This window comes from Homo sapiens, chromosome 12, assembly GCF_000001405.40.
Source record: "Homo sapiens chromosome 12, GRCh38.p14 Primary Assembly".
In the NCBI taxonomy this organism is placed as follows: domain Eukaryota; kingdom Metazoa; phylum Chordata; class Mammalia; order Primates; family Hominidae; genus Homo; species Homo sapiens.
This window is the reverse complement of record NC_000012.12, coordinates 70063064-70086001: the sequence shown is the minus strand read 5'-3', so window position 1 is coordinate 70086001 and position 22938 is coordinate 70063064. Positions and strand designations below refer to the sequence as shown.

At 38.2% G+C, this 22938-nt stretch overlaps 1 long non-coding RNA gene across 1 annotated transcript, besides 1 other annotated feature; it reads right to left on the bottom strand.

Moving 5' to 3' along the window:
• Window positions 1-866: 866 nt before the first annotated feature.
• Window positions 867-22807, bottom strand: LOC124902959 (uncharacterized). Its single transcript, XR_007063359.1, has 5 exons — window positions 22736-22807; window positions 21388-21507; window positions 15039-15102; window positions 3978-4063; window positions 867-944 (listed from the first exon to the last, which is right to left on the bottom strand). It is a non-coding gene; the product is annotated as an uncharacterized LOC124902959 (long non-coding RNA).
• Window positions 16089-16684: an enhancer, noted in NCBI's record as "OCT4-NANOG hESC enhancer chr12:70463098-70463693 (GRCh37/hg19 assembly coordinates)". NCBI's record gives its function as "activates a minimal SCP1, AML or CMV promoter by ChIP-STARR-seq in naive H9 embryonic stem cells {active_cell/tissue: H9 hESC(naive)}" and the evidence as "EXISTENCE:reporter gene assay evidence [ECO:0000049][PMID:30033119]".
• Window positions 22808-22938: the final 131 nt, after the last annotated feature.

Sequence of the window (22938 nt, the reverse complement as noted above, 5' to 3'; positions counted from 1 at the left end):
CAGAAAATGAAAGGAATTGAAATTAAGAGAAGTGAGAGATTGAAGTGTGGCGCCAAGATTGAAAGGAGAAAGAGGTTAAGGGATAGTGAGGGAGGTTGGAGAAGAGAATAAAAAGAGGCCACTTACCGGATTTGAAATTGGTGAGATGTTTCTTGGGCTGGTCGGTCTGAGGACCTGAGGTCGTAGGTGGATCTTTCTCACGGAGCAAAGAGCTGGAGGACAGGGGATTGATCTCCCAAGGGAGGTCCCCCGATCCGAGTCATGGCACCAAATTTCATACGCGTCCGTGTGAAGAGACCACCAAACAGGCTTTGTGTGTGCAACATGGCTGTTTATTTCACCTGGGTGCAGGCGGGCTGAGTCCGAAAAGAGAGTCAGGAAGGGAGATAGGGGTGGGGCCATTTTATAGGATTTGGGAAGGTAATGGAAAATTACAGTCAAAGGGGGTTGTTCTCTAGTGGGCAGGGGTGGATCTCACAAAGTACATTCTCAAGGGTGGGGAGAATTGCAAAGAACCTTCTTAAGGGTGGGGGAGATTACAAAGTACATTGATCAGTTAGGGTGGGGCAGGAACAAATCACAATGGTGGAGTGTCATCATTTAAGGCTGTTTTTACTTCTTTTGTGGATCTTCAGTTACTTCAGTCCATCTGGATGTATACGTGCAAGTCACAGGGGATGCGATGGCCTGGCCTGGGCTCAGAGGCCTGACAGTAGTAGTTGCTGATGGTTTTTTGTATTTCTGTGTTGTGAGTGGTAACATCCCTTTTGTCATTTCTGATTGTGCTTATTTGAACCATCTCTCTTTTTTTCTTTATTAGTCTAGGTAGCGTTTTATTTATCTTATTACATCTTTCAAATAACCAACTCCTGGATTTATCTTTTGTATGGTTTTTGGCATATCAATTTCCTTCCTTTCCTTTGGAGGTTGGGAGAAAGAAGAACCTATTATAGAAAATGTTAAAGAGCATTTTAAAAGTTTAACCTACTTCATAATTTAGTATAAGACATCCGTAGTACTCACTCATTGTTTTTTATAATACTGCCTTTAATCACAATTCTGTTACAATTCATTTTTTTGAAGGTAATATTTTCCAAAAAATTAAAAATAAACTTTACTGAGGAATAATTTACATATGCTAAAATGCAACAACTATATGCATACACTTCAAAGCATTTTGACAAATGAATATGCCTATGTAACCAGTAACATAAGATACAGAATATTTCTATCACCCTGTGTCCCTTCTCATTCGATATACTTCACCCCTGACCTTAGGCAACTGCTGGTCTGCTTTCTGTCACTATAGATTAGTTTTGCCTGCCTTAGAATTTTATATTTATGAAAGCACATAGTGTGTAATCTTTTGTCTGGTTTATTTTACTCAATATGTTTTTAAAATTCATCTGTGTTGTTGCATAGCTTATTTCTTTTTATTGCTGAATAATATTCCATTGCATGGATTTAGAATAATTTGTTTATCTAGTCGATAAGGCATTTGGGTCTTTTCTAGTTGTGGGCTTTTACTGATAAAGTTGCTATGCATATTCATATACAATCCTTTGTGTGGACATGTTTTCATTTCCTTTGGGTAAATACCTAGAAGTGGGATTACTGGATTGTATGGTTAGTATGTGTTTAACAGTATAAAAAACTGCCAATTGTCCAATGTGGTTTGCTATTTTAAATTACAGTATATGAGTGTTCCAGTTGCTTTGTTTTCTTGTCAACATGCTGTATTATCAGTATTTCTAATTTTAGCCATTCTAATAGGCATTGGGTAGCATTTCACTGTGGTTTCAGTTTATACTTCCCTGATGACTGATGTTGAAGATCTTGATCTTTTTGTGTGTGCATTGGTTGTTAATATATATTTTTTTGAAGTATCTATTTACAACTTTTGCCCATTAATTTTTTTTTTTCTCGGTGTTTTTTAGTTGTAAGAATTCTCTATATATTTTGGATACAAGTCTTTTGTCTGGTCTAGGTATAGTGAATGTTTCCTTCCTTCCGCCCTTCCTTCCATCCTTCCTTCCTTCCTTGTCATCTTTCTTTTCTTTCTTTCTTTTCTTTTATTATTTTTTTTTGACGCAGTCTCACTCTGTCACCCAGGCAGAGTGCAGTGGTTTGATCTCAGCTCACTGCAACCTCTGCCTCCAGGGTTCAAATGACTCTCGTGACTCAGCCACTTGAGTAGATGGAATTACAGGCATGCCACTATGCCTGGCTAATTTTTGTATTTTGGGCAGAGACAGGGTTTTGCCTTGCCATGTTGGCCAGGCTGATCTTAAACTCCTGGCCTCAAGTAATTCACTCGCCTCAGCCTCCCAAAGTGCTGGGATTACAGGTGTGAGCCACCGTGCCCTGCTGTATAGTGAATATTTTCTACCAGTCTGTGTCTTATTCTTTTAATGTTTAAATAGACTCTTTTATTTATTTGAAATTTAAGGATTTTATTTTATTTATTATTAATAATTATTAAATTATTATTGATTTATTTTATTTATTTGAAATTTAAGGATTATATGTGCAGGTTTGTTACATGGGTATATTGCATGATGCTGAGGTTTGAACTTCTATTGATCCCATCACCCAAGTAGTGAATATAGTACCCAATAGGTAGTTTTTCAATTCTTCCCCACTTTTGGAATCCCCAGTGTCTTTCATTCCCACCTTTGTGTCCATGCGTACCCAGTGTTTAGCTCCCACTTATAAGTGAAAACATGTGATATTTGGTTCTCTGTTTCTGTGTTAATTATCTGAGGATAATGGCCTCCAACTGCATCCATGTTGCTGCAAAGAACATGATTTCATTTTTTATGGCTGCGTAGTATTCCATGGTGCATATGTATCACATTTTCTTTATCCAATCCACTGTTGATGAGCACCTAGGTTGACTGCATGTCCTGACCTTAGAGCAAATGCCTACCCATCCTGTCTCAAACATATGTGCCCCCTGTCACTATGGTATATAATCTCTGAGTATGGGGGATAATAGTGTGGGAAATAAAATTTTAATTTTAATGACCTCCAGTTTATCAATCCTTCTTTCATGAATCAGGCCTTTGGTGTCATATCTAAAAAGTCATTGCCAAACTCAAAATCATCTAGATATTCACCTGTTATCCTCTAGGAGTTTTACATTTTACTTTTAGGCCTGTGATCTATTTTGAGTTAATTTTTTTGAAATGTGCCAAGTCCGCATCTAGTTTCATTTTTTTTTTTAATGTGAAGGTCCAATTTTTTTCAGCACCACTTGTTGAAAAGATTATCTTTTCTTCAATGTGTTGCCTTTGCTCTTCTGTCAAAGATCAGTTGACTATATTTAAGTAGGTCTATTTCTGGGCTTTCTCCTCTGTTCCATTGATCAACTTGTCTATTCTTTTGCCAATACCACATTGTCTTGATTATTGTAGCTTTATAGTATGTTAAGAAGTTGGGTAGTGTCAGTTGGCTTTGTTCTTCTCCTTCAATATTATGTTGGCTATTCTGGGTCTTTTGCCTCTCCACATAAACTTGCCTCTCCATATAAATAAATAAATAAATAAATAAATAAATATATAAATATATATATAAATAAATAATAAGTTTATTTATTATTTATTGACTAGGGTCTCACTCTGTCCCCCAGGCTGGAGTGCAGTTGCATGATCATAGCTCACAGCATGTGGGAAAGTGGTGAACATCTGTTGTTTTTATCTATTCAGCATTTACTTGTTCTTCTTTTGATAGCAGCATTTTCTTTTTCCTTTGGGGAACCACTATCCTCTTACCCTCAGTCTACGTGGTTAGTGTAGAGGTGACCCACCCTTAGCTCCAAGGAATGGCAAATAACTAGATTTAGCAACTCAGTGTACCCCATACTCTTGGTCACCATGCTAATCCCATGATGGTATAGTGTTTAATCTTTAGTTACATGTTGGTTTAATGAGACTCAATCCTGGAGTTTTATAGGGACAATTGAAAAATAAAATTACTTTTTCCTCTAGAGTTGTCATGCTGGCAGAGATGTGAGTTTGGAGCTGCTGGTGAGCCATCTTGATATCATAAGGGGAAAGTCTGCCTGGAAGCACAATCAACAAAGAAAAAGATAGAACCATGAGTTGGAAAGATGGAGAAATTAAGTACCAATGACAGTTTTTAAGCTCCCCGATCTAGTTATGGCTAAAGCCAACTTTGCTTTTCAATTATATGAGACAACACATTTTTTTCTTAAGCTAGTTGGTCTTAGTTTTCTTCACAAGCTAAGAATTTTTAGTAAGGTAAGAATTTTGGCTGTGCGCGGTGGCTCACACCTGTAATCCCAGCACTTTGGGAGGCCGAGGTGGGCGGATCACAAGGTTAGGAGATTGAGACCATCCTGCCCAACATGGTGAAACCCCGTCTCTACTAAAAATACAAAACTTAGCTGGGTGTGGTGGCACACGCCTGCAGTCCCAGCTACTTGGGAGGCTGAGGCAGGAGAATGGCGTGAACCCATGGAGGCAGAGCTTGCAGTTGTCACCGCACTCCAGCCTGGTGACAGAGCGAGACTCCATCTCAAAAAAAAAAAAAAAAAAAAAAAGAATTTTATGAGCACAGAAATATGGGTCAATACTTGTCCCTTTTGAAAAAATTTCCTGAGATAACTTGAAGCTCACATCTAAACCTTTTATATTTGTAGTTGTGGGGGAGGAAAGACTTTTACTCTATTCTCTTAGGTTCTGTTGCTGTGACCTGTAAATTGGACTGACAAAAGGCAGATTAATAGGAGAAAAAGCATACAGATTTTGTTTGATGTTAATATTTTTATGTGGTGCTGGGGGCTTCATAGAAAGAAGTGAAAATTCTAAGGAAGCCGTTAGGCCCAGGGTCTTCTATATCATTCTCACAAAGAGCAATAAATAATGGAGACATGACAAAGCAAAGGAAAAAGAGGTTTGGGCTAAGGGTGGGGAAGTGTGGGAAAGTAACTAGAAAATATATGGGGAAACTAATGGATGATAGGAACTATTTTATTCATAGTAAGGCTTGCCTTTGGTGATAAGAATGTTCTCCTCCTCCTATAGGAGGTCACCTTTCTCATGGGAAATGTATGCCTTGCCTTAAGGTAGAAAGGGGAAAGACAGAGACTCCTCCCTGCTGCTGTTTCTCAATGGCTTTCAGCTCAAAATAATAAATATGCCAAAGTGCCAAAGTGGTATATTTTGGGGTGACATGTTCTGATCCTCTTCACAGTCTATTTCCTCTTTTCTCAAAAGGAACTGTAGAAAACATTGCTCCCTCGAGACTCCGTCTCAAAAAAAAAAAAAAAGGAAAACATTGTTCCCTAATAGTAGTTTCTGTTCAATGTTTACTTACTCACATCATAGAATAAAAGGTTGCAGTATAAATTAGGTGATTATGACTTTCTAACAGAGGAAACTAAAGTCACTTAGGCTTTTAAAATTCCTATTCACTTCATAGTTCATTAGATTTCATTAGGCACACACACACCTACACACATTACAGAAGGAAACTAAAATATTTCAGATGTATGTATGTATGTATGTATTATTTATTTTTGAGATGCAGTCTTGCTTTGTTGCCCAGGCTGGAGTGCGGTGGCGCGATCCTGGCTTACTGCAACCTCTGCCTCCCCAGTTCAGTTCAAGCAATTCTCTTGGCTCAGCTACCCTAGTAGCTGGGACTACAGGTGAGTGCAACCACGCCCAGCTAATTTTTGTATTTTTAGTAGAAACGGGGTTAGCCAGGCTGGTCTTGAACTCCTGACCTCAGGTGATCTGCCCACCTCGGCCTGCCAAAGTGCTGGGATTACAGGTGTGAGCCAACGTGCCTGACCCTGGATAGTTTTAATAGTAGAGTCAATCTATGTCCATTTACTAGTCAATCCTCTTTCATGTACATAATTATTTCTAAGGACAAAAACAAACAAACAAAAAAACCCACCCTCATTCCAAACATCTGTATATTTACCATATAATCCTCCTACTGGATTTGCTCTGGATTTAATTTTCAAAGGCTCCGAAGTCTTTAACCGAAGCTTAAAAAACAAATAGACTTTAGGTATCTAGGCTTTATTCTGAATTCTATGCCTCCTAAGTTTTTAAGACTTAACAAGAACCATTTCACTTTCCAATATTCACTTTAAAAATGTTTTCCCATACTTTTTCTGACTGCTATATGTTTACATATAGCAGTTTGTTTACAAAATATATGTTTACAAAATATCAGAGTGGTTTGTCTAATGTTATTTGCAAAGAAGTGACTTCCTGGAGCTGTCATTAACTATACTATGTCTCCCTCCCCCAAATCCCAGGATAATCCCCTCTGAAGGCTTGGTAGACTTTACAGAATTATTATGAAATCCTGAGTGCTCTTCAGGCTTTGAATCACAGAAATTGCTTTTCCAGTATTATAAGTTATCTGTGATCATTTTACTGCGATGTCCTCTGAAATACTCAAGAAGACAAAGTCAATATGGCTGAATTTGGCACTGAATTTGCTCTATGACCCTGCAGTCTCTTGGGTCTCTGAATGGTGCCGGCATTACCAGGAGAGATGGGATGTGTGAGTAGGCCCATACAACAATTAGAGGAACTCTAGACAGTTCCTACAGAGTTGCTCTCTGTAGAGGCCCATATAGAGTCATCACTAATCATTAGCAAGTTAGCGAGGAATTACTTTATTCCAGAGCTAATGCCTCAGAGCGCAGTACTACAGAAATAGGATTTTGATGTGAGGGGAGGTAGGAAGTGTCATTTTGATGCCCTGGGTGCTGCCCAAATCTACAGAATGCAATGAAAGGCAGTGCTACACACCATGGGAGTATGAATTACAATGGAAGAGGAGAAAGGAGGGAGGCACAAAAAGAGGTAGAAGGGCACCAAATTCATATCAGTTTGTTTGTCTTATAGTTTTGCTGAACAGTGGCTGTGTTTCAGAGTTAAACTGTTCAGAAAAGGGTTAGAGAAAAATACTCTGAGCTTATTCCCCTCCCCACTTTGATACCTATTTTGAATATTCTTTTTTTAATGGTCTCATCTGAGTTTGCCTAACTCCTATATATACAGAAGCAGCATCATATTGAGACTTGTTATAAAGTAGATCAGTGAAAAAAAGTAAACCAAAATGTTCACATATTAGGTCAAAACATTTATATTGCTCTCATGAAGTAAACTGGTAATTTTCTTATTATTTAAATGAAACCTATGACTATAAGACATTCTAAGAAACAGTCTTCCTTATAGCCTCAGATAATGACTTCTCTGATTGCTAGATCTCTATTAGCAGGACAAAAACGAATTATAGCTGTCTGATTGGTGTTATTTGGGAAAAGTAATTGTCCAAAAAAAGAGAATATGCAGATAGGCTCGTTTAATAATTTGTATATCATTTGCCCTTTGGGTGGTAGTTATTAACACATAAATTAACTCACAAAGCATATTCTCTGGAACAATTACATAAAATATAACCAAGCTCATAAAATCTCTCTCCATACACTAGAATTTCCCATGATTCAAAATGGAAAAAGAACTCAAGATTCTGAAAACATGTAAGACTGCCTCACTGTGCCATAGAATTTTGAGTCATTTCCAATAAAAGATTTTCTTTAATGTTGGGCAGAAATGTCTTGCCAAATAGGTCAGCAGAAGGTAGAGAATACAAGTTTTGGGATATCTGCCTAGGCATGCCAAGGCTGTTCAGTTATTTAATACTCTCACGTTCTACATGTAGCTTCAATGACCAGGATGCAGATTCTGAAAACAAACAAACAAACAAACAAACAAACAAATAAGTACTTGAGAATAATGTTCAATCTGTTACTAGAAAGGAGTCCCGATCCAGACCCCAAGAGAGGGTTTTGGATCTCGTGTGAGAAAGAATTCAGGGCAAGTCCATACAGTAAAGTGAAAGCAAGTTTATTAGGAAAGTGAAGGAATAAAGGAATGGTTACTCCATAGGCAGAGCAGACCCAAAGGCTGCTGGTTGCCCATTTTTATAATTATTTCTTGACCATATGCTAAGCAAGGGTTGGATTATTCATGCCTCCTCCTTTTAGACCATGTAGGGTAACTTCCTGACGTTGCCATGGCATTTCTAATTGTCATGGCACTGATGGGAGTATAGCAGTGAGGACGACCAGAGGCCACTCTCATCACCGTCTTTGGTGGGTTTTAGCCAACTTCTTTACTACAACCTCTTTTATCAGCACCCTCTTTTATCAACCTCTTTATGACCTGTATCTTGTGCTGACCTCCTATCTCATTCTGTGACTTAGAATGCCTTACCTCCTGGGAATGCGGACCAGCAGGTCTTAGCTTTATTTTACCCAGCCCCTATTCAAGATGGAGTTGCTGTGTTCAAACACCTCTGACAAATCTACGAGAATAAAGCCCAGAAATCATTGCAGCAATTTTTGTCATCTAGTCTCAAAAATTCTGTTGCAACCCAGGAAGTGGATCATGCCAAAAAGGCTCTGAATAGAGGATTTAAGGCTATTGTAGTATTTCTGAAAACATTGATAAATGGCTATGAACATTAGATGGTAATTGAGTCATCAATGAAGATATTAATATTAATATTTTTCACAAGATCCTTTTTTCAGATTAATGAGATCCCTCCCTTAATTTATTTATATTTGGAGGGGGTGGTCCCAAAATACAGAAAATGTAATGAATATCTGTGATAAATGCTCACCACCAAAATGAACAAACGACTTTTATTTTCTTCAGATTTTCTTTTCTTTTTAAAATACTGTGTGTTTTCTTAACCAGGCCCATTCTTTTCCCTTTTCCTGAAGTTTGGCATCATCTGGTGTACGCATCCCAATTATATTTTTGTATTTGTACTCTATTTATTTTATGCATTTTAATGTAGTTTTGTAATATTCTCCATAAATGTCGTGACCAATATTTTAAATAATTGTGTTACATTTTCTAATAATTATTGCTGTTAAGTATGGCATTGTTTTTTGACAATTGATCTTAGATTTGGTAATCTTCTGCAGTCACTTAATTTTACAAGTTATCTGAAGGCTTTTTAGATTTCTTCTAGGAAGTCAATTATATAGTCTACTGATGAAAATTTCCTCTCTTCTTTTCAATCCTTATACCTTATATCTCTTTTTTTCTCTTATTATTCCTTTGGTTAGGAATGCCAGTACAATATTGGAAAGTAAAATGATTGCGGGTATCTATGTTTTATTTCTTATTTTAATATAAACACTTCTGAAGTTTCACCATTTTGACTAACACTTCCTGTCACTGCTTAGTAGATTCATTTGATTAGGTAGGTGAAGTTGCCGTCTATACACATTTTTTGAGTTGGTTTTTCTGCTTTTCTGCTTTATTGAGAGGAGCATATGGCATTTCTCTATCAATCTCTCTCTCTATCTCTCTCTCTTTTTTTTTTTTTTTTTGAGACTGAGTCTTGCTCTGTCGTCAGGCTGGAGTGCAATGGTGTGATCTTGGCTCACTGCAATCTCTGCCTCCCGGGTTCAAGTGATTCTCCTGCCTCAGCCTCCCTAGTAGCTGGGATTACAGGCACGCACCACCACACCCAGCTAATTTTGTGTTTTGGATTTTTAGTAGAGACAGGGTTTCACCACGCTGGCCAGGATTGTCTGGATCTCCTGACCTCGTCATCTGCCCACCTCGGCCTCCCAAAGTGCTGGGATTACAAATGTAAGCCACTGCGCCTGGCCTCAATCTCTTAATATGGTAAATATTATTAATTTTATAGGCTTTCCTGATTTTTAAATCACCCTTGCCTTCATAGCATGAATCTATTTGGTCACACACAAATTTAATTCAACATGGCAATTTCAGGACTTTTTCATTCATTCATTTAGTAAGTACTCATTGAGTACTTCTTACGTGACAGGAACTTAGGCAATAGAAGTACAGCAGTAATTAAAACAAATTTTTAAGAAAACATTGCCTTCATCGATTACATTGAAGGAATCAGTTAACAATTATGATTAATAAGTAACATATATAATATGTTAGACAGTGATCACTGTTAAAGAAAAGAACAAGAAAGAAGAAATACAAACTCTTTAAGAGGAGCTCAAATTTAAGTTGAGTGCCCAGAGAAGTCCTCATAAAAAAGCAAATTTGAAAAAAGCCGGTAGAAAGTGAGGGAGCCTGGCTCTTCAGCTATCTGGGTGAAGAATATACCAGGCAAAGGAAACAGAAGCTAAACAACCCTGAGACAACCCTGAGGTAGGAATATTTCTGATACTTTTGAAGAGTTATTTGGTAACTTTTTTTTCTAGAAAACTGACCATTTCACTGAAATTTTCAAATTTATTGGCATAAAATTAACTATAATTTTAAATTATTTTTATAAAACTATTGTATTTACAATTCCTTATATTGCTGTTTTTTCCATTTTGATTTTGATCAGACTACCTAGAAGTTTGTCTATTTTGTTACTATTTTCAAAATTATTATTACCAAATATTCTCTGTAGATTGGAGTTAACAATTTACACGCTGCATCTCTTACGTGCAAAAAAAGTCACTTGATACTTCTTTTCTACCCCAAGTAACATTCTTTCCTCTCACCCTCGTAGCGGATGCTAGTAAACCTCTGCATCTCTTCAATGTCAAACAGGAGCTGCTGAAAATTTGGGGCTTCTGACCCAGACCCTCCCTCTGCCTAAATACATCATGCTGCCATTTTGACTCCACTGCAACTGAATGCTGTTGGCATTCTGTAAGATATTCTGTAAGGTAAACTTCTCAGTGATTCCAAAAGGACACAAGCTGCCTTCGTATTGCCATTTCTCTCAACCCCTTTGTTAACCACCTGCATAAGCTTGGGTTGCATAGCAGTTGTAGTTAAAATTAAAGAATCATCAGTATAAAGAATAGCAGAGATTGGGGCCTAGTCAGCCAGGGAGAAAGCTGAGCTCTTCTGAAGCAAACACCTTGCTCGTATCAAGCAAGGTGGCAAGGGTTCCAGACACTTTAAAAGTAGAAATAGTTAAGGACCAAGGACAATGTTGGAGACAAATGGGATAAGACACTTTAACTAGAGTATATTAATCATGTTTTCTTATTTTCTGTATGTTATGATACTTTGACATCTTGGGACCCTGCTTGCTGGGGAGAGTCTGCTCTTCCCAGGGTTAGCTAAATCTTAGAGATAGAAAACACTTGCCCAGGAGTCCATTCTTCAAATGCAAATCAACCAATCCAGGCCCCATACCTTCAACCACCTCCTCTACTGGGCCAAGCCACTGTAGCCCTGCCTTATTCATCCCAGGGCCAGGTATCAGATAACTAGGGGCAGTCCCTAGCCAATCTTAAACCTGTTTACCCTGCCTCACCATTTCCTTCCTGTGAAAACCACAATAAAGGCTCTTTCCCATGCTTTCCTCTTGCTCCCTTTGCCTCCTCACTGACTTTTGTGCTTCCCCATGTGGCCTTGCATGACAGCCATTTCTCTGTTCATAACAGTCATTTCTCCATCTGCATGTCTTGCCATTCCTAATTAAAACAAATCCCAGGAACATTTTAAAGCACAAAAGATCACACATAGAACCATAGACCTGTGTGCCCAATGCCATTAGGATGTGTAAAATGCCCTCACAACCATCCTAAGAAGGATGAAAATTTGGGAGAGAGATTACAGTCTTTGAATGAAGATTTAAGCAGTTCACACTTCCTAATCTCAAAGATAATGATCTCATTGTTGTTCTTGGTGGGAAAATATTTTTTTTTCAAGCTTTACCTTCCCAAGGATAGTGGCAACTGATTATGGACGATGCTTTAGCTACTTAATTCTTACAATGAGCAACAATGAAAAGCTTCTGAGTTTAGTTCTTTAAATTAGGAACTTCTGCTTAAATGTCCAATGCTTTAAGTTGGTTGCAAGGATCACAGGGGTGACATCATATTTTGCTAAGAGTTTTTTATTTAGCAGAACAGCATAGAGCAGTGTAGTCAGATTGCCTGATTTGGAATCCAGACTCCCACAGGCAGTGTGACTTTGGACGAGTTGCTTAACTTTTCTTTATCTTAGTTGTCTCACCTATGGAATGAAAATAATAATGGTATCTTCTTTCTACGGTGGTTGTGAGGAGTAAATTAGATGATCCATACAAGTTATTAGCATAATGTTTGGCATTCATTGTGTACTCAATAAATATCAATCATGGTAAAAAAAAATTAGAATGATTACTAGTATGCCTTTGTGCCATATACTGTGCTAAGTGATCCCTTGTTTCCTTTACCCTCACAGCACACCTGGGTATTGTTACTGGCAGAGGGTGTCCAGGTTCTTGGTGTTTTGAACAAAGAATTGGACAAAATGCACAAACATAGCAATGAAAGAAAAGCACAGATTTCAATGAAAGAAAAGCACAGATTTTTTTTTTTTTTTTTTTTTGAGATGGAGTCTCGTTCTGTTGCCCAGGCTGGAATGCAATGGCGCAATCTCGGCTCACTGCAACCTCTGCCTCCCGGGTTCAAGTGATTCTCCTGCCTCAGCCTCCCAAGTAGGTGGGATTACAGGTGCTCACCACCACACCCAGCTAATTTTTGTATTTTTAGTAGAGACAGGGTTTCACCATGTTGGTCAGGCTGGTCTCAAACTCCTGACCTCAGGTGATCCACCTGCCTTGGCCTCCCAAAGTGCTGGGATTGCAGGTGTGAGCCACCACACCCGGCCTGAAAAGCACAGATTTATTGAAACTAAAGTACACTCCACAGAGTGGGAGTTGGCTAGAGCAAGTGGCTCAAGAGCACCAGTTACATAACTTTCTAGGATTTAAATATTGTTATCCTCTAGAGGTTTCCCACTGGTTACTTGGTGAACATCCTATGTAAATGAAGAGGATGAAGTGAAGTTACAAGATTATTTACTTGGTGTACACCTATGCAAATGAAGAGGATGTTTCCTGCCATAGCTGATGTAAAGTTACAAAGTTATTTACTTGGGTGTAGAAGGTTGGGGTTTTTTCTGTTTGATTTAGTTCTAGGAAGTCCTTAGGTTCCCTGCTTCCAGACCTTATTCTTCTGCCTCAGTATTATTACCTAGGAATGGTGGAGTTGTGCTTGAGTGCTCTGAGTCTGAAGCCCATGCTCTTAATTACAAGCCCCATGTGACTGGAGGTTTAATAGAGGGTGAGACAAAGAAATAGTTCAGGAACTCTGGCATCATTCCACTATATCAAGTATCCAAAGATGAAAAACGAGAGCTTGGCATGCTCTGTGACACTTTTCATGTTGTCATTGATGTTGCTGGTATTTAGACTCTGCAAGCCAACTAACAGTCTATAAGACATCCTATAAACTTTCTTGAAAACACTTCATGAAATTTATACTTTTTACTTTTCTACAGAGAGCAAATATTATTGAAACATTTCATATTTACTGAAAAAAAGACATTCTTTGGCATCAAACTATCTAGCATGAGGGTATTTTCTGGAACATCAAACAATCATTGATAGCTATCTATGGTAGATTTGCTGAAATGAAAGCCAGCATGAAGCAACCAAATTGTCACATCTAACCATGAACAACGACACTCATTAAGTTATGGGAATATCAGTATCAAAAGGAAAGACCTTTTCACCTCGCACTTAACCTGATCGTTGATCTCTTGAAAAACAAAAGAGCAAGATTAAGGGACAGTAAGAAAGAAAGGGAGAGAAATTGAACAGGAAGTCCTAGTTATTTGGAATTTACAGAACATGCACACTGCTATCCAAACAAACTGCAGAGTATGCACCACTATCCAAACATACTACTCCAAGTGCCATTATTTCTTGACTAGCAAGTCAGAAGCAATACATTTCAGAGATATAAATTAGCTTTGATGGAGATTTTGTAGTTAAAGTTTGAACTCTGAGTAATTGTATTAATATAAGTAGTAACGTGTAAATCCTCCTCCAATAGGGAGTGCAGAACTCCAAAAAGGATCACCAAGCAAAGATGAATAAGACAAATTAAAAAAAGAGGATTGGTGTGTGCAGTGGCTCACACCTGTAATCCCAACACTTTGGGAGGCTGAGGTGGGGGGATCGCTTAAACCCAGGAGTTTGAGACAAGCCTGGACAACATGATGAAACCCCATCTCTACAAATGTACAAAAATTAGCTGAGCATGGTGATGTGTGCCTGTGGGCCCAGCTACTTGAGAGGCTGACGTGGGAGGATCATTTGAGCCCAGGTGTTCAAAATGGGGCCACTGCACTCCATCCAGCCTGGGTGATAAAGTGAGACCCTGTCTCAAAAACAAAACGAAACAAAACATAACCCCCAAAAAACGATATACATAGGGCAAAGGGCAAGGTGAGGAACTTCTCTTTTGGTCCTCCCAGCTCAGAATTTAATTTGCCTATCCCTTAACAATGAAGGATTAAAGTGACTACCGGAAGCACTCCATATCTTATTTGTAGTCTGTTGTGTTATAAGTGGTTGCTTAGGTTGGTAGCGAGTAACAATACTCAATATAGCATTTATCCTTTTGTCGGCAATATAAAGTCCTAAGTAAAAGACCTCCTTCAAGTGTTGTTAATGGAACTGGGGAAAATTCAGCTGATAATTGCAGTGTATCTTTGTTACCCTTGCAAATACTTGAGAGATAGAAGAGAGACAGAGAGAGAGAAAAAAATAAACCCTGATGCCTTAAGGCATCTATTGTATACAATGAATTAACTTCTCTCATTTGCATCTATAATATTAGTTATGTGCCATCCTCCTTGGAAGAAATGAGAAAATAATATTCAAATCAGTTTTTGGTAGAGTTTAATTTTCTTGTGAAACTCCCATTGAGAAAGGCTGCTAGAAAAGATATTCAAAGGAGACTTTGTTCTGTCTGGATATGTCGTAGATTTCACTGATACACTGAGATGTTAACTTACTTGTTTCTTGGTACCAACATTTCACCCAATGGCATCAAAATAGACTTCAAAGCACTGACACTGGTGCTGAAAAAATTATGTGTTCAAATTCTGATTCTGCCACCTCCAGGGTCTGATTTAGGGAAAGTCACTTATACCTCAGCTATGACACAAATAATATATATGACATAATACCATACCTACCTTACAGGGTTGCAGTGGTGATTTCGTGAGACGATGTAAGACAGACCTCAGCACACTGTGAACACTGAACGAATGTTATTAACCACTGGAGATAACAATCCTGAGTAACCCACTGTATAGCTTTCCTCTTGGGGAGATTGAGAACAACGCAGAACCATTAGACCTGTCTCCTACTGAGCCATCTGGTATTGATTTTTCAGTTGCACATCCTGGAGACTCACTAGGGCCATAAAATAAAGGAAGCAATAATTCTCCCCTGACCACTCAGCTGCTAAAATGAAGGGACCTGGAATTTTACACCCTCTAGGATAACACAGAGAAAGCCTTGTAATAGGGTTCCTGTTGCTTGTTTCAAGACTGTTAGCTAAGAGCGAAGGAGTATTTGGTATGCCAGAGGGCTTTACATTATCCATTAGCATTGTGGTCTCTAAGTTCTTGTCATAACTTACAGTGGTGTTTTATGAACAAATTAACCCCAAGTAGCTTTTGCAGCAATAAAATATTCTGCTGTAGAAGGCTTGCTCATTTTCTGCATGCATTTTACTGTTATGTTAGACATGGGGAGTGAGAAGATAGAGGAAAAACCATGAGAAGAGGCAGAGAGAGGATGTGCAAAGAGAAGAGGGAGAAAAAGGATGTATTGATCCTGTTCTTATTTTACTTCAACTAAACATGTATTTTCTAAGTCTTTTTCTCGACTACAAAGAAAAAAAAGCAGGGCCAAGTCTTGATCTTTTTTAAAAAAATTAAAGTACATGTACTGCTTTTTCCTGATTATGAAGTAATACAAGTTCCTTATAGAAAATATGAAAAGCACACTGAAGAAAAAACTAAATTCCCTATAATATTATTAAGCAGACATAAATATTTATGATGTTTGGTACATTTCCTTCTATTGATAATCTGTTTTCTATGTATGCATGTTGGTGAGGTCTAAACTCTGATCTTTTTTCTCTCTTGCCCAAATTCCTATCTAAGGGCCTGGGAACTCACATCCTGAAAACCAAAAAAATCTCACCAGATGGGTTTTATTTAACCCTACACAATGTGGCTTCCTTTCCAGTCTGACTCTGCATAACATCACATGATAGATTAAAAAGGAAATCAAAATATTTTACCTCACTTTTTTTTTAACTAGACTGAAAAACCTCAAAATATATTTCTTTGCCATATTTTGAAATGGCTCTGCAAAGCCGTCTTTTGTGGGGGATAGTTTGCATCTGTAAAGAATCTCTATTAACATAATTAGATCTTTTCCCTTCCAGGCCCTGAAATCCTGAAGAGATTAATCGAGATTCTAGCCCCTTTTAAAGGTGTGAATAGGAAACATTTGCCATCTATTATCTCTAAGGGTGGCCACCTAAGGACTTCTTAAGACCCTTGGTCTCCACAACCCCTTATTTTAACCCAGACACTCTTTTCTATTGATTCCACGTCTTCAGATGGTAACCTAACTCTTCCAACCAATTGCCAATCAGAAAATCTTTGAATCCACCTCTGACCTTCAGCCCCACCCCCTTCCCGCTTTGCATTGTCTCACCTTTCCGTTCCAAACCAATGTATATCTCACATGCATTGAATGATGTATCAAACCAAGCTGTAACCCAAACCACCTTGGGTATATGTTCTCAGGACCTCTTGAGACTGTGCCTCAGGCCATGATCATTCATATTTGGCTCAGAATAAGCCTCTGAAATCTTAAAATATTTTACAGAGTTTGACTTTTTTTTTTTTTTTTTTTTTTGCCAATGTAGGTATCATATTGAACAATTTTTTATCTTCCTCTTTTTGAATTGTCATTCCTAGGTGCATTTCTCCATGTAATTGAAAATTATTTTAAAGATAAAATTTGATCAATTCATCATACTGTTAAATCAAGGTTAGCCTAAAGCTGCCTCCTTACATATTTTCAGTTCAGCCTAAAGATTTCTGTGTATGTAGTGAACTGTAACTTAAAGGTATAAACAGGCTGTAACCTACTCTTGTGCCACTCACTGAGTTTGGGCCACCCTAAGGGGGCCAACTGTTCAAACCACATTCAAATAAGGCGAATGCCAAGCTGTAACCAATCTGGCTGTTTCTTTACCTCACTTCTGTTTTCTGTATGTCACTTTCCTTCTTCTGTCTATAAATATTCCACCATGTGGCTGCCCTGGAGTCCCTCGGAGCTTACTCTAGCCCTGGAATCTGTCAATTCATGAATTGTTCTTTGCTCAATTAAACTCTGTTAAATTTAATTTGGCTAAGGTTTTTCTTTTAACAATACCATACATAAGAATAAACTCCAAATGAATCAGAAATCTAAATGTTAAAATATTGACCTAACAATGCTAAAGGAAAATCGGGATGATTTTCTCTATAGCCTGAGTGGAGGGAATGCTACCTAAATATGACTTAGAATTCAGATACAATTTCTAAAAATTGATAAATTTCACCACATAAAAATCAAAACCTTTTGCATTGCAAAAACAAACAAACAAACAAACAAACAAAAACCCCTCAGAACCCCACCACAAGCAAAGTCAAAGGGCAAACAACAGATTGAGAATAACTATTTGCAACATATGTCACGAAGTACTAATTTATCTGATATATAAAGAACTGTAAAGAAAAACACCAAAAATCCTTTAGAAAAAAGTGAACATTAACAGATCACATATCTATATTAAACATAAATAGATGACCAGTTTTATTAATAATACAAGAAATGCAAACTGAAAGAAGACAAAGATACTACATCTAACCTATTAGATTGCAAAAATTTAAAAGTTGGCAAGACTGACAGGCAACAAAAGCCCTTATACATTGTTGGTGGGAATGCAAAATGGTACAATCCTCATGAAGGAGGATATGACAATATCTAACAATATTACATATGCTTTTATCCTTTGACTCAGCAATCTTACTCCTAGGAATTTACTCTGATGATGTACTCCGCGATATGAAAATACATATGCACAAGGCCATTCTTTGCAACATTATTTGTGATTGCAAAATATTGGAAACCACCTAAATACACAAATAAAAAACAGTTGAATAAAATATGATACAAGCATATAATGCAGTATCATGCATCTATATATTTTTAAAAAGAGGAATATCTCTTGTAGATTTATATGGATTTCTAGGATATGTTAAGTACAAAACAGTATCTATAGTATGCTACCTTTTTGCAAGAAGCAAGAGGAAATAAGAAAATATCCTTTATTCATGTTTGCAATTAATTTTGCAAAAATAACAGGAATGATAAATAAGCTAAATAAAATTGTTTGCCCATTGGAGTAGAGGAAATGCAATGGAAGAGATTGGGGAGAAAGTAACGCTTCTTTGTGTATATGGTTTTGTATAGTTCTTATTTTGAAAGCATGCTAATGTTCTGTATGTTTTTTAAAATAAACAAAGATGGGGGAATAGTCTCTAAAACTGAATGCAAACATAAACAATGGAATCCACTGTATTTCAAATGAATAACATAACCTAACTCAAAGGATTGTTCATGAAAATGGAACTAATCAAAGTTGCTTTTGAACAACATATTTTAATATGTACTGTGATAGGCAGCATTCTAGGATGGTTCCTGGCTCTGTTTTCTGTTGCTGTAACAGAACCACAGACAGGGAAATTTATAATATGTAGAAACTTCTTTAGCTCACAGTGTGGAGGCTGGTAAGTCCAATATCCACGGGATGGCATCTGGTAAAGGCCTTTGGGTTGCAGGAAAAGTAATGGCATGTAAAAGAGAAAAGCTCAAGGAGTTGAAGAGCCTGCTAACTTTGTAACAACCACTTCCCGAGATAACTAACCTACTCCTGAGATAGTGCCATTAATCCATTCAAGAGGGCACAGCCCTCATGACCTTAAAACCTCCCATTCAGCCCCACCTCTCAATATTGTCATTGGGGATTATGCTTCAACATGACTTTTGGAGGAGACACATTCAAACCATAGTGTCTCACCCCTGGCCCCCCAAATTCATGTCCTTCTCACAAACATAACGCATTTATTCTATCCCATTAGCCCCCAGAGTCTTAGCTTGTTCCAGAATCACCTCAAAGATCCAAAGTCTAGAGTCTCATCTAAATTAGATATGGGTGAGGCTCAAGGGATGATTCACCTTGAGGCAAATTTATCTCCTGGTACAAGCCTGTGAACTCAAAACAAATTATAGACTTCCAAAATACAGTGGTGAGACAGGCATGGGACTGCCATTCCCGTACCAAAAGGGAGAAATAGGGAAGAAGAAAGGAGTAACAGGCCTTAAGTACAGATTCAAAACTCAACAGGGAAAACATCATTTAAATTTTAAAGCTTCAGAATTATCTTTGTTTCCATGTCCTGCATCCTGTGCATACTGGGCCTAGGAATGGGCCTCCAAGGCCTTGGGCAGTCCTGTCCCTGTGGTTTTCCTGGGCTCAGTCCACCAAGCAGCTTTCATGGGTTGGAGTCTTATGCCTGCAGCTCTCTTAGGCTGGAGTTGAATGCTGGTAACTTTATGTTCTGGGGTCTCTGTGGCGGTCCTGCTCCCTTGGCTCCATTAAGCACTGCCTTAGTGGGGGCTGTCTGTGGCAGTTTCAGCTGTGACCGCTCATTTTCATTGTCAGCAACATCCTTCAAACTCTAGGCAGGGGAAGCCACATCCCCACAGCCCTTGCATGCTGCATGTCTGCAGATTTACCACATGGATACACCAAGAGTTATCACTTGCACCTTCCAGAGCAGCAGGTTGAGCCACAACTGGTATAACTGAGGAGCACTGTGCTGGAATGCAGAGAGCAGAGACCTGAGGTGGTCCTGGGCAGTGAGCCCATAGATGGTGTCTTAGGCCAGTCTCCCAAAATCATTCTGCCCTCATTGAGCTCTGGACTTATGATAGGAGGGGCAGCCTCAAAGAGCTCTGAAATGTCTTAGAAGTCTTGCTTTCATCGTCCTGATGAATAGCCTCTGGCTTCCTTCAGTACATGCTTATCTTTTTGTTAAAGGGTGACTTGGCTGCGCCCTTACATGCTTTTTCATCCTTTACATGACCAGGCTGCAAATTTTGCAAATCTTTCTGCTTTCTTTCCTTTTAATTATAAATTTCATCTTAAATAATTTCTCTCCTCTAGCATCTCACTATAAGCAGTTAAAAATAGTCATGCAGTAATCTGAATGCTTTACTGTTTAGATATTCTGTTAGATATCCTAGTTTGTCCCTCTTAAATTCTACCTTCCATAAAGTCCTCAGGCATGGACGCAGTTCAACCATGTTATTTGCTACTTTATAACCAGAATGGCCTTTACTCTAATTTTCAATACCTTATTCCTCATTTCCATTTGAGACCTTTTCAGAATGTCCTTTACTGTCTATATTCCTGTCAACATTCTAGTTATGACCATTGACTAATCTCTAAGAAGTTCCAGACTTTCTGTAGTCTTTTCTTCTTAGCCCTCACTAGAATCAATTTTAATGCTCAATTTTTGGCAATGCAGGCTTTTTCTAGCCTGTTCCTTCAAACTCTTTTAACCTCTATCCATTATCCAGTTATAAAGCTGCTTCCACATTTTAGGTATCGGTCATAGCAACAACCCCACTTCTCAGTAGCAACTTTCTCTCTCAGTCCGTCTTCTGTAGCTGTAACAGAATACTGCAGACCGGGTAATTTATGATGAATTTATAATTTATTTTATAATTTATAATTTATAATTTATTTAGTTCATGGTTCTGGAGATTTGGAAGTCCAATATCAAGGGGCTGGCATATGGTGAGGGCTTTAGGCTGCCTCATCCCATGGAAGAAGAGTGGGGCACATGCAAAAGAGAAAAGCACAAGGCACTGTGCCTGCTTTATAACAACCCACTCCTGAGATAACTAACCTACTCGTGTGATAATGACAATCAGTTCATGAGGGTGGAGCCCTTATGACCTAAATATCTCCCATTCAGCCCTATCTCCTAACACTGTTGCACTGGGAATTACATTTCAACATGAGTTTTGGAAGGAACATTCAAGCCATGGCAGCTCCCAAGATTCCCACCGCCTGGTGTATAAACCCTATAAAATCCCCTCCCTTTGAGTATTGTAGGAATTAGTGAATATGATGGGATAGTTTCTCCATGTGAGCAAAGTGATGAGATACTCATTCCCATTATTATGTTATGTTGCTTAAAATTTCATCAGAGCAGATAGCCCAGACTACCCCACTGCAGGAGTCTCCTGCTGACCTTGAAAGAGCAAACTGACAATGTAGCAGGGACTAGCAGGTGGCTTTTAAGGGAGTGGAAGATAGCCCCCGGCTGACAACCAACAAGAAAGTATGTCTTTGTGCCTACAACTGCATGGAACTGAATTCAGTCAACACCCTGAACATACTTGAAAGAGGATCCCAAACTCCGCGTGAGAACCACAACATGGATGACATCTTGATTTCAACTTTGCAAGACCATGAAAGAGAACCCAGGTGCTTTGTGCTCAGACTTCTATCCTGGAGAACTGTGATGTAATAAATGGATGTTTTTAGTTGCTAAGTGTGTAATAATTTGTTATGTAGCATTAGAAAACTAGTACATATACCCTCAGTATGAAGAAAAAGAAGAATGGCCTAATATTAAATTCTTTTTAGTAGGTTTGTTTTTCATCATCATATGGGCATAACAAATCTCAAACTTTTGCATGTATTGTATATTTTAACAAATGAATAAATGGATTGATGTTGGAAGCCAAAGCTCTAGTTGTAGAAGGGAGATACAAGAATGGACTGGGGAAAGGCAAAGGACAACACTTTGGGGCTAAAAGGAGTAGAAGATTTTACTATAAACTCGTAGTTTCTAAAATATATACATTAGAGCTGAGATTTCCAACATATGCAAAATACAAAGCATCTAATATATTTCTGCTTGTTGAAAAAGCTTAGAAGCAATGCTATCCCAACAGTGATGAACATATTTAGCACCCAGATATTGATTTCTAAATACCATTACCTTCCAAAAGGAGCCAGGGCTCCATGAAGAAATGGCCAGTTCTGAGGTTGGTACAGAGAAGGTATAAGATAAACCTAGAGCATCTCATTGTGCCATAAATTAAGAAAATACTAAAAACAGTTGCAGGGCATGTCAAGAAGACACAGGAGTCACCTTAAGCATCAAAATAGGCCTGATGTGGTGGCTCACGCCTGTAATCCCAGCACTTTGGGAAGCCGAGGTGGGCAGATCACCTGAGATCAGGAGTTTGAGACCAGCCTGGCTAACATAGTGAAATCCCATCTCTACTAAAAATACAAAATTAGCTGGGTGTCATGTCACGTGCCAGTAAGCGTGGGAAGCTGAGGCATGGAAACCGCTTGAACCCGGGAGGCAAAGGTTGCAGTAAGCCGAGATCACACCACTGCCGTCCAACCTGGACAACAACAAGACTCCATCTCAAAATAAATAAATAAAGACACTAATAGATTATAATCCGTTGAAAAAATAAGAATCTATGAGTTCAAACTGAAGACAGACAGAAAGAGAAAGAGAGAGAGAGAGAAAGAGAGAGACAGAGAATAGATAAGGGAAAAAGAAAGATCTTTATTACAGTTAAAGGCTAACTGTAATAAATATAGAAAGAATGATTAAGTTAGAAAAATCACAGTTTGCAACTATAGGAGTAAAAAGTGATCCAGGCAAACATCAATGGATCCTAAATCTAAGCATAAAGGTTTGATGATAAACAGGATACTTACAGCATTTCAAAATATCTCACCGCAAATGATTTAACTTCATAAGAAAAGAAAGTAAATATGGTAGAAAAACTAGACAACTCTTCAACCAAATAATCAAAATTAATGTCAGTAATAATGGAAATTTTCCCGAGAATATACCATCACTAATGTGATATTTCAGCCAAAAATGCATAATCTGAATTTGATCATGAGGAAACATTGGA